The 12343-nt window shown below is 46.8% G+C and overlaps 1 annotated feature.

Annotated features, from left to right (window-relative positions):
• Window positions 11701-12242: an enhancer, noted in NCBI's record as "H3K27ac-H3K4me1 hESC enhancer chr1:204721386-204721927 (GRCh37/hg19 assembly coordinates)". NCBI's record gives its function as "activates a minimal SCP1, AML or CMV promoter by ChIP-STARR-seq in primed H9 embryonic stem cells {active_cell/tissue: H9 hESC(primed)}" and the evidence as "EXISTENCE:reporter gene assay evidence [ECO:0000049][PMID:30033119]".

Below are 12343 nucleotides of genomic sequence, written 5' to 3'. Positions count from 1 at the left end.
GTGACTTCTCAGAGGGGCTGCAGAACTGGGTGGGGTAAGGGACCTTCTGCTAAACTCCCTCGGAGCAGGAGAGCCTGAGCTGTGTCAGACAGAGGCCACACTGCCAGTTGACTCTACGGTGGGATTTGAGCAGCACATAGGACTCCTGCCCCAATGCCACCCACACTCATGCCTAAATGTCAACATAATGGGGTCCTTTCTTTAGGCTTGAAATTGCCTCTTTTTCGTGGTCATCTGTCAGATTACAGGTCAGCCTTGGGTCGGTGAGGGACTCATTAAGTCTCCAGCGTATAGGAAAAGTTGATCCTATTAGCTCCTTTCTCATGGAGAATGCTGGCAGTGCGAGATGTCTAGAAACACAGGCTTTTCTAAATTACTGGGTTTTGTCCAGGTGCGCCCGTTTAGAGGCTGGTTTAGGTGTGAAGCTGCCCAAGCTGCCCTGCTGCAGGCTGAGCCGGCTTCCTAGTTTTGGAGCCTAGTGCTCTGCGCCCACCGCTGGAGGGCGCCAGGCCCAGGAAGAAGGACTTCCTGCCGCCCTGGCAGCCACTGCTCAGCGGGAGGGGCGAGAGCGGAGAGCGTGGGCAGTGGCATTTAGGTGGATGAGTAAGAGCTAACCCAGCCCCCGTTGTTCTTGACCTTGGCTGCAGCTGCTGCCAGAACTGGAGACCAAGCTGACCGTGCTATGCATGACCCAGCACCCTAGCATTAATTAAGGGGGTTGGTGACATTGGAACTCAGGGTAAACAGAGGGAGGCAGATTTCTAGCTCTGGTTTCCAGGATTCTGAAAATGAGAATCTGCTGAGAGAGTGGGGGCAGTGGGCCTGGGCGTTGCTTCTTCCTGCACAGGAACATCAGCCCTCTGGCTTCTGCATCTTGGAGAACTCCAGCTTTTGGGGAGGAAATTGAGATGTCCAGGTTCCATGGAGCCATGGAGGGAGTAGAACAGATGTAATTCTAGGAGCCAGGACATTTGGAAGGTGGGAGCATCTAGGGATTAAGAACATTAGCTTTGTAGTCAGTCAGTCTGCCTTAGAATCACAGCCTTACACATTAGTGCCTGAATAACCTTGGGCTACTTATACCTGTTATACATTGCCTCAGTTTCCTCATCAGTAAAATGGGGGATTCCATACCTACCATAGTGGGTGGTTAGGAGAATAAAATGACATAAAAGCACTCAGCACACTGTGGGCATATTGGAAGTTTCCCACAAATGCTAGCTTCTCAGAGCATCAGGAGAGAGATACTGTGGTTTGGAGAGATGGGGTATAGAGGTCAGTGGTTAGACTGCCTGACTCAGGACCCTCCCCACCACTGCCTGTGCCTCAATAAAGGACTAGAAGTCAAATTGCTTAACCTCTCCAGGCTTTAGTTTCCCTTTCCATACCAGAAGAAGCCACCTTCTAGTAAGAAAGCAATAGATCTCGACAGCAATACCAATTTGTAATCTGGGGGCTTTGGAGCATTAGCATTAACTAAATAGAGGCCTTACTGAGACAACATCAGAGCCACCTGGCATGTGGAAATTTCTGTATTAGATCACAGGATCCTCCAGTGACAACCCAACCCAACATAATTTTCCACCGTTGTCTTTAAAGTCCTAGAGGCTTGAGGGTGAAGTTTGTAAGTCTCCTTTCTGATTCTACCTCTGGCCTGCTTCATCTCAGGCTTCCCAAGGTCCAATCCCTATATTATGGTTTTTACATTTTTCTGCAAACTTTTAAAATACATTTTTCTTTAAAAGGTGCAGCCTATTCTCCTCCCCTTGAATGTGAGCCAGACTTCTCTCTAAAGAATAGAATGTGGTGGAAGTGAAGCCATGTGACTTCTGAGGCTAGATCATAAAAAGGATAGCCTCTGCCTGAATCTCTTTCTCCTGGGTCTCTCACCCTGGGGGAAGCCAGTGACCATGTCATGAGGACACTCAAGCATCCTCCGAAGAGGTCCATGAGGAGAGGAACTGGGTCTCCTTGCCAACAGCCAGCACCATCACGCCCATTATATAAGTAAGCCACCTTGGAAGTGGCTCCTCCAGCCCCAATCAAGCCTTCAGATGACTGCAGCCCAGCCTACACCTGGAGTGCAATCTCCTGAGACACTACAAGCCTGAACTGCCCTGCCAAGCCTCTCCTAGATTCCTGACCCCCACACACTGTGTTTATTTATTTTTTATTATGTATGTTCCTTATTTTTATCTTAAGCTACTCAATTTGGGGGTAAATAGATATGCGGCAATAGACAATGAATACACTCCATCTCCTTGATGTATCTCCATCTCCCTGAACTTAAATGTAGCTTGGATACCCTGCTTGCATCATCCTGGCTAGTCTGTCTGCTGTCCTGGGTGAAGGCAGCAGGGGATGCCAGGTCAGGAGCAGTGCTCTGAGGACAAAGAATTTCAGCTCCTGGAGAAAAGTTGACCCGACCTTTTATCCTACAAAGGGCTCAGCAGAGAAGCTGCCAGTGTTGTCAGTAAGTGATTGCTACTTCTCAAAGAATGGGGAGGGTCCTAGGACCCTGAGCATAAAAGTAGAGCATCAAATGTAGGCCTGGTTTCCAGAGGGTCTCCAACTGGATGACCACTCTGCCATCAACCACAGCTAGGATGAATGCGGGCATACCTGGCCCATTCCACCCCCATGCTTAGCAAACTTGTGCAGAATACAGGTGTTTTCTGTAAACATAACCAGTAAGCTGAGTGCTCAGAGTCCTAACCACATGCATTAACCCCTCTTTTTCCTCTCCTCTAGATGCTGGTGTTCTCCAAGCTTCTGTCTTCATTGGGAGTGAGGGAAGTGCAAGAGAGAATATTCCTGAAAAGTAGCACCTTTCATTTTTTAAAGTAATATATTGCATGTCAATATTAAGACTGATGAAAATCTGTTAAAAGATTTCACAATTGTTGTAAGAGGAAAAAAAAGCAGCAGCAGTACTGTAAGATGTGGGGAGACAGTTTTCAAAGGATGGCACCTTTTTCACATACTTGCCCTTCACCAATCAGAAATTGAATCCCTGCCCCTAGGCAGGCACTCTGTGATGTTAGAACCTGAATACACCTCTTTCCTCATCTCTCTTCTCACTCCTGCCTGTGATACTTAAGGGATCTTCAACTCCCCCATTGCTCCAAATACTACCTGTATTCTGATGACTTGCCAGAAAATAGCTCCAAGCTCAGTTCCCTACTGAGGTTGAGATCCCTCGCATCTCTGATATGGCAGACAAGGCTAGCCACAATTTTGTCTGAGCCTCATCTCCTGCGACCTCACCCTAAACCCCTAAGGTGGAGCCCAACTATTAGAGCTTATCTATTATTTCCTGTGGCAGTGACTGCAAATTGCCAATCAAAATCCATCTCCATTCTTTCTTTCTAAGAGAATCTAGCTAAAAGACCATGATTCCAAGCCTTTGTGAAACAGGAGGCCATGCAATTAAGTTCTGGCAGTGATGTCTAAACAGAAGTGAAATGTGAGACTTCTGAAAAGCTGTTTAAAGGAAACTGACTCAGCTGAAGGGAGGGGCCTTTGTCCTTCTCTCCCTTTCTTATTTCTGCTGCCCAGAACTGGGATGTGTTGGCTGGAGCTCCTGCAGCCATTCTGGACCGTGAGATGACCTTGAGAATGAAAGCCATGTGCTAAGGATGTGGAGCAGAAAAGCGGAATATTAAAATATATATGGCACCATTTTGCACCAGGTTCTGTTCAAAACGCATTTCCTTTATTAAATCATTTAATCCTCAGAGCAGTCCTCAAAGATAGATACTTTTATTATCCTCATTTTACAGATGAGGAAGCAGAGAGGAAAGGTAACTTCCTCAAAATCTCATGGCCTGAGAAAGGACTAAAACTCAGGCCAGTGTGACTCTGGAGTCCGTGCTCTAAGCAGTCATCTTGCATTGCCTGGGTTCCTCATGACTCAGGAACTACCTACCACACCAGCCCCGGGCTGCCTAGCTCTGCACTTCTCTTGTGTATGAAAGAAATAAACCTCTAGCTTACTTAAGTCACTGCTATTTTGAGTTCTCTATTGTTGGCTGCCAAGCCTATGCCTACCTGATACATTCTCCAATTGATTTTCATGCCTCCAGGCACTTGTTCAAACTCTTCCTTCTGCCTGGAATGCCCTTTCCATTGTACACTCCTCTGTTAGCACACATCAAATGCAGAATAACATCACAGCTATTTCTTTACCCATCTGTCTTCCAAGCTAGATGTTCACCATCCAGAATGGAGGGACACTGTCTTATAGTCTGTTCCCATAAAATTTAACCTGGTCTGGCACATAATAAGTGCTCTATAAATGTTCCCTGAATTTAATTAAATTGGGGGAAAATCCCAGTCTTATACAAAAGCAGGATAAAATGGTTTGACATCACATATGTTGGGGTGTTACTCCCCTTCCCCTTTCTCCCAACCAAGGCTACCCCAAATCTTCTTACTTGTTTCTCGATCCTTCCACTAAGTTTGCTTTTTGTTCCACAGTGAAATGAAACTTACTTTTAATGAGCACTCCGTGTATCGTGGACATTTCACATGCTATTTCATTCTCTACAACACTGAGAAGTTTTCTAGAGATGAGAAAACTGAGGCTCTCAGAGAGAAGGTGATTCTCCCAAGATCACACACCTGGTAAGGGGCAGATTTAGGTGAACGCAGAACTATCTTATGGCATACACCCACATTATGATAGCTATTGTTTTAAAATATATTGTATAGCATCAAGGGTACTAGTCTGGGATTCCATAACCCTAGTTTCTAGTCAAGCCTCTTAACTCTGGTTTGATCTTAGTTTTCTCAGCTGTAAATTATGGGATGATCTCTGAGGACCCTTCCAGCTCTGGCAGCGCATGATTCTATGAAATACACACTAAGTTTAAGTAATTGAGAGTCTTTTTTTTTTTTTTTTTTGAGACAGTCTCACTCTGTCACCCAGGCTGAAGTACAGTGGCGTGATCTTGGCTCATTGCAACCTCCGCCTCCTGGGTTCAAGTGATTCTCCTGCCTCAGCCTCCAGAGTAGCTGGGATTACAGGCATATGCCACCACACCCAGCTAGGTTTTTATTTTCTTGTTCTTTTTTTTTGTTGTTGTTGTTTTGTTTGTTTTTTAGTAGAGATGGGGTTTCACCATATTTGCCAGGCTGGTCTCGAACTCCTGACCTCAAGTGATCAAGTGATCTGCCTGTGTTGGCCTCCCAAAGTGGGGATTACAGGCATGAGCTACCACACCTGGCCAGAGGTCTTTTTTACATAGGAAAGTCTTTTTTATATAGGAAATTCCAGAGGGCAAAAGATAAAAGTTGCAACTAAGGGGCTCTGAATATAGAAGCAAGCTTGGTGTTGATTCTGCTAGACACTGACTCTGCTTGGCTGCCAGGATCTCAGAAGTCCATCAAGCACAACCCCTCTCCTCATATCATATCTGACATAGTCACCCATCTGAGCCAAGAAAAGGACAGCAAGAAGGGCATTTTCTGGGAGAAGGCCAAGTCTGCAAACAGATCTCTTTCACCAGAATCCCTAGGTATGGAAGGGTTTGTCTAGAAGTTGTGGGCTCCTGTGGACCTGTGCATATTGACACTCACCTGTGGAGCTCCTGCTGCATCAAGAATTCCAGGGAGGCTGTCACCTTGGGAGTCTGGGAGAGGTGGAGTGAGTGTGAACAAATATAGTGTGTGCTCTTGGAGGAAATAGAGTGCTGGAAAAATCCCCGAGGGGGTTCCAAGAGCCATAGAATGCTAAATGCAAACAGGCAGGCAGACAAGCAGGCCACTGCCTCTTTGCAATCCATGACTCTCCACAGGACATCCCTGTGCTCCTCCCCTGGCGTGGGACCCACTCAAACCCATGGCCCTTCTGCTGCAAGAGTCCTGAGTTCAAATCTGCTTTGATGACACTGTCATGTGAATCTAAAATTTAAAGTTGTCTCTCCAGATTGCTATTTATTATACAAACTGAACTAAATGAAATGATTCTTCTACTCAAATATATCATCTCTAGTTTGCCACACATATTTGATAATAATCAATAGTGACATTGTACAGCCCTTTACAGCTCATAAATCACTCTCGTATCCATTACCTCACTTGGGCCTCCCTTCAGCTCTAAGCTGGAAGAATTATATTGAATCACATGAAATTGCTGATGTTCAGTTGGTTTTGACCAGCAAAAATGGCACTTTCATATGGTTCAGTGTAATATTTGTGCTTTCGCTGTCTTTTTGCCAATGGGGAAACTGAGGCTTTTAATCATGTATAACTTGTCCAAGGTTTTTAGTAAGTGATAGAACTGGGACTGTACCCCTGATTCTGATTCCAGACGTCATTTGTTCATCCCGTAAGAACTTATTGAGAGCCTGCTATGTGCCAGGCACTTGCTGGGAACTAAAAACACCAAGGGGGAAGAGTGCCTTTACCCTGTCTGCCTGGGCATGTGCATAAAATTTGGGGGCTGTGTAGGGAAAACAGCACTCACTGGCAGCAATGACATATAGTGAGCAGTGACTTTAGGCCAGGCCCACTTCTGCTTTTATATTTCTGCTTATGTATTATTTACTTAAAAATACATATTTTTATATATAAAAATAAATAATAAATATAGAGATATACATTTTTTGAGATGGAGTATATTTATATATACATATATTTTGAGATGGAATATATATATGTGTATATATATGTGTATACATATGTGTGTATATATATATGTGTGTGTGTATATGCATATATTTTTAATTTTTGAGATGGAATCTTGTCCAGGCTGGAGTGCAGTGGCGTGATCTTGGCCCACTGCAGTCTCTGCCTCCCAGGTTTAAGCAATTCTCCTGCCCCAGCCTCCCAAGTACCTGGGATTACAGGCGAGCGCCACCATGCCTGGGTAATTTTTGTATTTTTAGTAGAGACAGGGTTTTGTCATGTTGCTCAGGCTGGTCTCAAACTCCTGACCTCAGGTGATCCACCCACCTCAGACTCCCAAAGTGCTGGGATTACAGGCGTGAGCCACCCTGCCTGGTCCTACTTAAATATTTATGTTGTATTATTTTAAAACCTAATTATTATTTTATTACTAATAATATTTATATACTAATTAATCCTCACACCAACCTTGCCTGGTCTACAAGTGAGGAAATTGAGGCACAGTAAGGTTACATAATATGTCCATGGTCACATGATTAGTAAGTAACCAAGCCAGGATTGAAGCAGTCTGGCTTTGGAGTCTACTACAGTAACCATCCTGCATCTGCCTGGGCAAATCTGGGAAGAATTCTGGGAGGAGGTGACCTCTGAGTTGAGACCTGGAGGATGAATAGGGCAGAGTCCATCTGGGCAGAGGAAAAAACAAGACAAAGGTTCAGAAACCTGAAGAAAAAAAGGCATGCTTTTGGGAATCAGCCTGGAGCACAAAGTATTAGGGAAGGAAGTGGTAAGAGATGAGGTTGGCTAGATAGACAAGGGGCAGGTTTTGCAAAGGGTTTGTATTTTATCCCATAAGCAATGAGGAGCCATTAAAATTCTTGTCAGGGGAGTGACATGATTAGATTAGCCTGCTAGCAAGATCGCTTGGAGGGCAGAGTGGGAGATGTATTAGAGATGGAAGAAAGACTACAAGTTATTGTAATTTGGGGGTATGAGTTCATCCACAGACCACTTCTCTAAACCACCTTGCCTCTAATTTTCCTATCATGATTTCTCCAAGTCCCTGGCCATCTGCTAAATCACTAGCTATTGCTCATGAATCACATTAGACGCTTACCTCGGGCCATCTCTTCTGTTGAGAATAGTGGTCACGCTGTACTGCTGGAAGGATGCGCCTCTGTGCTGTCCTTTGAGCCTGGTCCTGAGGGCAGGTCTAATGCCACAGCAGTCCTGTGTGATGCCAGCACATTGTGCGGAGCCACCTGTAAATCAGGCTGCAGTTGTTCCTCCATAGTCAACAGGTCACAGGGGACTCCTCGTGAAGCTACAGGTATGTGCGTGGGGTGGCAGTATAACAGGAGCAGGGGTGTTGGGAGAGTAAAGCACATGTGACTCGCTCGTGCTGTCAGGACCTGCTTGACCCAGTTCCAAATAAACTGTTCCCACCTGATGATGTGGTGGTGCTTGGCATGCCCTTCTTGGTTTGTTGATTAGATCATACCCAATTCTGGATGAGCCACTTGGGTTGCATGGTCACCAGGTATACTGTGCTCAGTCTGTGAGGCCTAGTAGAAAGTCAAGAGCTGTTTCTTACATGCATAGTTACAGCAAAGAAATGATGTCCCTGTCCCAAAACTCCAGGGGTCCCCACTGTGATTCTCCCATTGGTACTTTCCAATGGCTCCGTATGGAAGCCTGATCTGCCACAGCATTGATCATCATTGCATCTGCTGGGTCATGAGAGGCACGGGACAGAGCAGCTTGCATGGCAACCTGGACATGCAACAGAACCTTTTCTTGCTCTGGGCCCCTCTCAAAGCAGAAGCCATTAATCTCGGCTATTCCCTATGGCCGTGGAAGCATTAATCTTGGCTATTCCCCATGGCTGTGGAAGCATTAATCTCAGCTAATAGCATTAATCTCAGCTATTCCCCATGGCTGTGGAAGGGCTCCAGAGACTCCTACTTTGTCCTTCCTGTGGAAATAGCCCTTACTTCACGGGTCAGAAGCCAGGGTAGGGAGTCTGCCAGTTGAGGTTATTTATTCCAATAGTTTAGTCAGGAACTGAGAAAATAACTCTGGGATGGTGTAAGTGCCCTACTGGGTCTACCATGACACAGACTCAGGTAGAAATCCATTTATCACCTGGCCTTCAAAAGCCTCATGTTAACCCATGGATAAAGGGTTCTGGGTCCCCAGGATTGATGTTATACCAGATCCAGTGTCAATAATCCTTGAAAGGTCTGGGTCATTCAGTTACCTTGATCAATACATAGTTACCCTGGTAAATGGCCACAGACCCCTTTAGGGGAGCTGGAAGAAGACTCACAACGCATTACTGTGCTGTTATTGCGGCACCTTCCCTCCAGAGTACCTGGCCTTCCCATTGCTAAAAACTCCATGTCCGTGAACTGAATCAGGGATGGAAAGAAGTGAGGAGCCATGATCCTCCATCATAGCTCAAATCAGGTCTCTATTTGCCAGTCCTGGAGTTTGGGGATATTAAATAATTAGGTGAAGAGGAACAAGAAGGAAAAAGGCAGACATCTCCCTTGTTCACTGGGTGAGGTTGAAGTCTTCTTTTGGTCTACTGTTGCAGCTTCTCTGGCCAGTCCTCAAGCCCCTTGTGGGCAGGCATCAAATGCTGGGCGTCTGCTCTGTACGTGAGCTCTTGGTGGACCCTTTGGAGACCCTGCACTGCTCATTTCCCTGACCCTGGAGATTTGACTTGGGCTCGCCTCATTTCTCCACCACCCCTCAGCCCCCACTTGATGTCATCAACTCTGGGCTCCAGCTGCCGGGACCCCTTGGTGGGCTGCAGTCCTCCTGTGTGGTGTCACTGACCACTGAAGACCAGCTCCCTCACCCTTCTGCTTTGTCCACCCAGCTATGGGGAAACGCCTGGATTGCTACCATACCAAGTGGTGGGAGGAGGCTGCTTTACTGCCCCTTCCCCCCACAACGCACACACCTTACCTTATCATTTTTCTCCATGTCTCCTTTCCTTTGCTCAGGTCAGCTAAGCAGACATCCAGCCAGGACAGGAAACGGCCATCTTCTCTGCTTCTGTCTCTACAAGGGATCCTCTTGAAGTACCCCTCCTCCTTTCCTCTCCCACAAGGGTGTGAAGAGAGGGAATGGCTTCTTCTTGTGTACACCACACTCCGCACAGGCTAACATTGTGGGGATGGGGGTGGGGGGGTGGTACCCTGCAGTATGCCCTTTATAGAGGCTGTGGACTCTAAATTCAAAATGTGTGGCCAGGCACAGTGGCTCACACCTGTAATCCCAACACTTTGGGAAGCCAAGGCAGGTGGATCACTTAAGGCCAGGAGTTCAAGACCAGCCTGGCCAACATGGTGAAACCCCGTCTCTACTAAAAAAAAAAATACAAAAAAAAAAAATTAGCTGGGCATGGTGGTATGCGCCTGTAGTCCCAGTTACTTGGGAGGCTGAGGGAGAAGAATTGCCTGAACCTGGCAGGCAGAGGTTGCAATGAGCCAAGATTGCACCACTGCACTCCAGCCTGGGTGGCAGAGCGAGACTCCATCTAAAAAAAAAAAAAAAAAAATTAGCCTGGTCTGTTGGTGAGTTCCTGTAATCCCAGCTACTTGGGAGGCCGAGGCACGAGAATTGCTTGAACCCAGGAGGCTGAGGTTGCTGTGAGCTGAGAGATGCCACTGCAGTCCAGCCTGGGTGATGGAGTGAGACTCTGTCTCAAAAAAAAAAAAGAAAAAAAAAAATTAGAATGTGTGTACTTAGCATCTGCTATTCTAAGCATTGACTTTAACTATAATTCCGACAGCAGGACGTGTCCTATTAGACATCCTGATGAACATGGGGAAAGTAAACTCTTCTGGGTTTTCTCAGAGGGAATAGGTGGGTTTCACATAAATCCATTTCTATCTTCTAAGTTCTATGCATTTCTTCCCTACATCCAAGGGATTTCTGGCTTCTCAACTCCATTTAGTGGGAATCAATGTGGAGCCTATGTTTCAGCTAACCAAACAGAATTAAAATCACTCCTAGCAACTTAGAACAGAACATTCAATGTAGAATTTCTAGCAAATGTCCCTAAATCTTCAAATCCAGGTACTTCAATACTCTATTGTTCTCTCCTTGGTTTTATTTTTTTTAATAATCCATTCCTACATGAATTTTCCAGATCTTTAATGATTCAAATTAATAATGTCATACAACACTTGTGGTGTGTATGTTTTCTTCTCCAGAGTTTAACTAGGTAATTCACCACCACCACCACTGTCCCATGCTGGAATGTCTCTAATTATTTTTTCCAGTATGGAGATAAAAAGGGTAGTGGCTCCTCCCCTTGCAAGGTAGCTCCATAAGGTGGGTTCATATAAAGTTTCCAAGCAAGGCAGGGATAAGCCTCACTGGACGGAAGGGGAGGAGCTACTGCTTTTGGCAAGACAGGCTCAGCCTGGGTGAGAAGCTCAAGGTACTACGAGCCCAATCAAATCTTCCCATATATCCTTGTTGCAACTGTTGTGGTCCCCCTCTTTTCTGATCAATCATTTCTATCTTTCACATTAGAAATGTGGAGAAGCTGTGATTTTTTACTAGATTTATAATTTGACCACCTGTAGGATCAAACTTTGTGACTGGTTTTGACTATCTCAGTCCTGCAACTATGAGCCATAAGACATCATTCTGAACTGAGTGTGGTGGCATATGCCTGTAATCCTAGCTACTTGAGAGGCGGGAGGATGCTTGAGGCCAGGAGTTCAAGACCAGCCTGAGCAACATAATTGTTACGGGATCTCTGGGGTGTCGATTTTTTTGGCTGGAAACCTCTGTGGCCACAGCACTTTTGTCTAAGTTCTTGTCCTGCATCCAGGAAGAATGAGTACGCAGACAAGTGAAGGGTGAAAAAGGAGAAGAGTTTTATTTAGTGTTAGAACAGCTCAGAGGAATAGGTAGCTCCTCTCTGTAGGCAAGTCCTCCCAACGAGTGTTCACGCTCAGCAGAGAGGAGGCCCTGGAGAGGGTGGCTCCTCTCTGCAGGCAAGTCATTTGGATATCTCTGCAGGTATCTGAAGCTCTCAGCAGACAGGGTAGTTCCTCCCTGCCAGTCGCCCATCCCATCCTATCCCATGCCATCCCATCCCATATCCGTCTCTCTGTCCATCCCAGTCTCTCTGCCCTTTTCGTCTTCTGGCCATCCTCTGCCCTGCTCTGGCTGAGCCCAGGGTTTTTATGGACCTCAGCGGGGAGGAAGTGCGTCCATGCTGATAGGTCCAGGGGTGGCCAATGGCAGCCCAGAAGAGGCACCACGAGTCCCCATTCCAGTCAGCAGGACTGGCAGCCCAGCCCCCAGCCTTCAGGCCCTCCCTGACCCAAAGGTGGGGCCTTACTGGGGACTCCCCCTCTTCCCCGCCCAGGAATCAATCTGCCTTCTGCTGCCATTCATAGCCCCCAGGCTCGGCCCCAACCCCGGCTCCAAGATCAGAGCAGGTGCCGGGAGTGGAGAGGGGCCAGGCAGCAGGAGAAGACACCCCGGAACCTGCAGGGACAGAGGTTCCTCCTGGGGCCCCGAGGGTGCAGGCTGCAGAGACACCCGGCTCCTGAGCCTGGGAGGGCGTGGCAGCCGCACCAGGGAAGGCAGATCCTGCCTGCTCCTGGCCCTCCCGGAAGGGCACAGGGAGGCTCCCATTCACAGCTGCAGTTTGGGCGCCTGCAGCCCCACCCAGGAG

Source organism: Homo sapiens, chromosome 1, assembly GCF_000001405.40.
Source record: "Homo sapiens chromosome 1, GRCh38.p14 Primary Assembly".
Classification (NCBI taxonomy): Eukaryota; Metazoa; Chordata; class Mammalia; order Primates; family Hominidae; genus Homo; species Homo sapiens.
The sequence above is the reverse complement of the archived record's forward strand: the minus strand, read 5'-3'. Positions and strand labels throughout refer to the sequence as shown.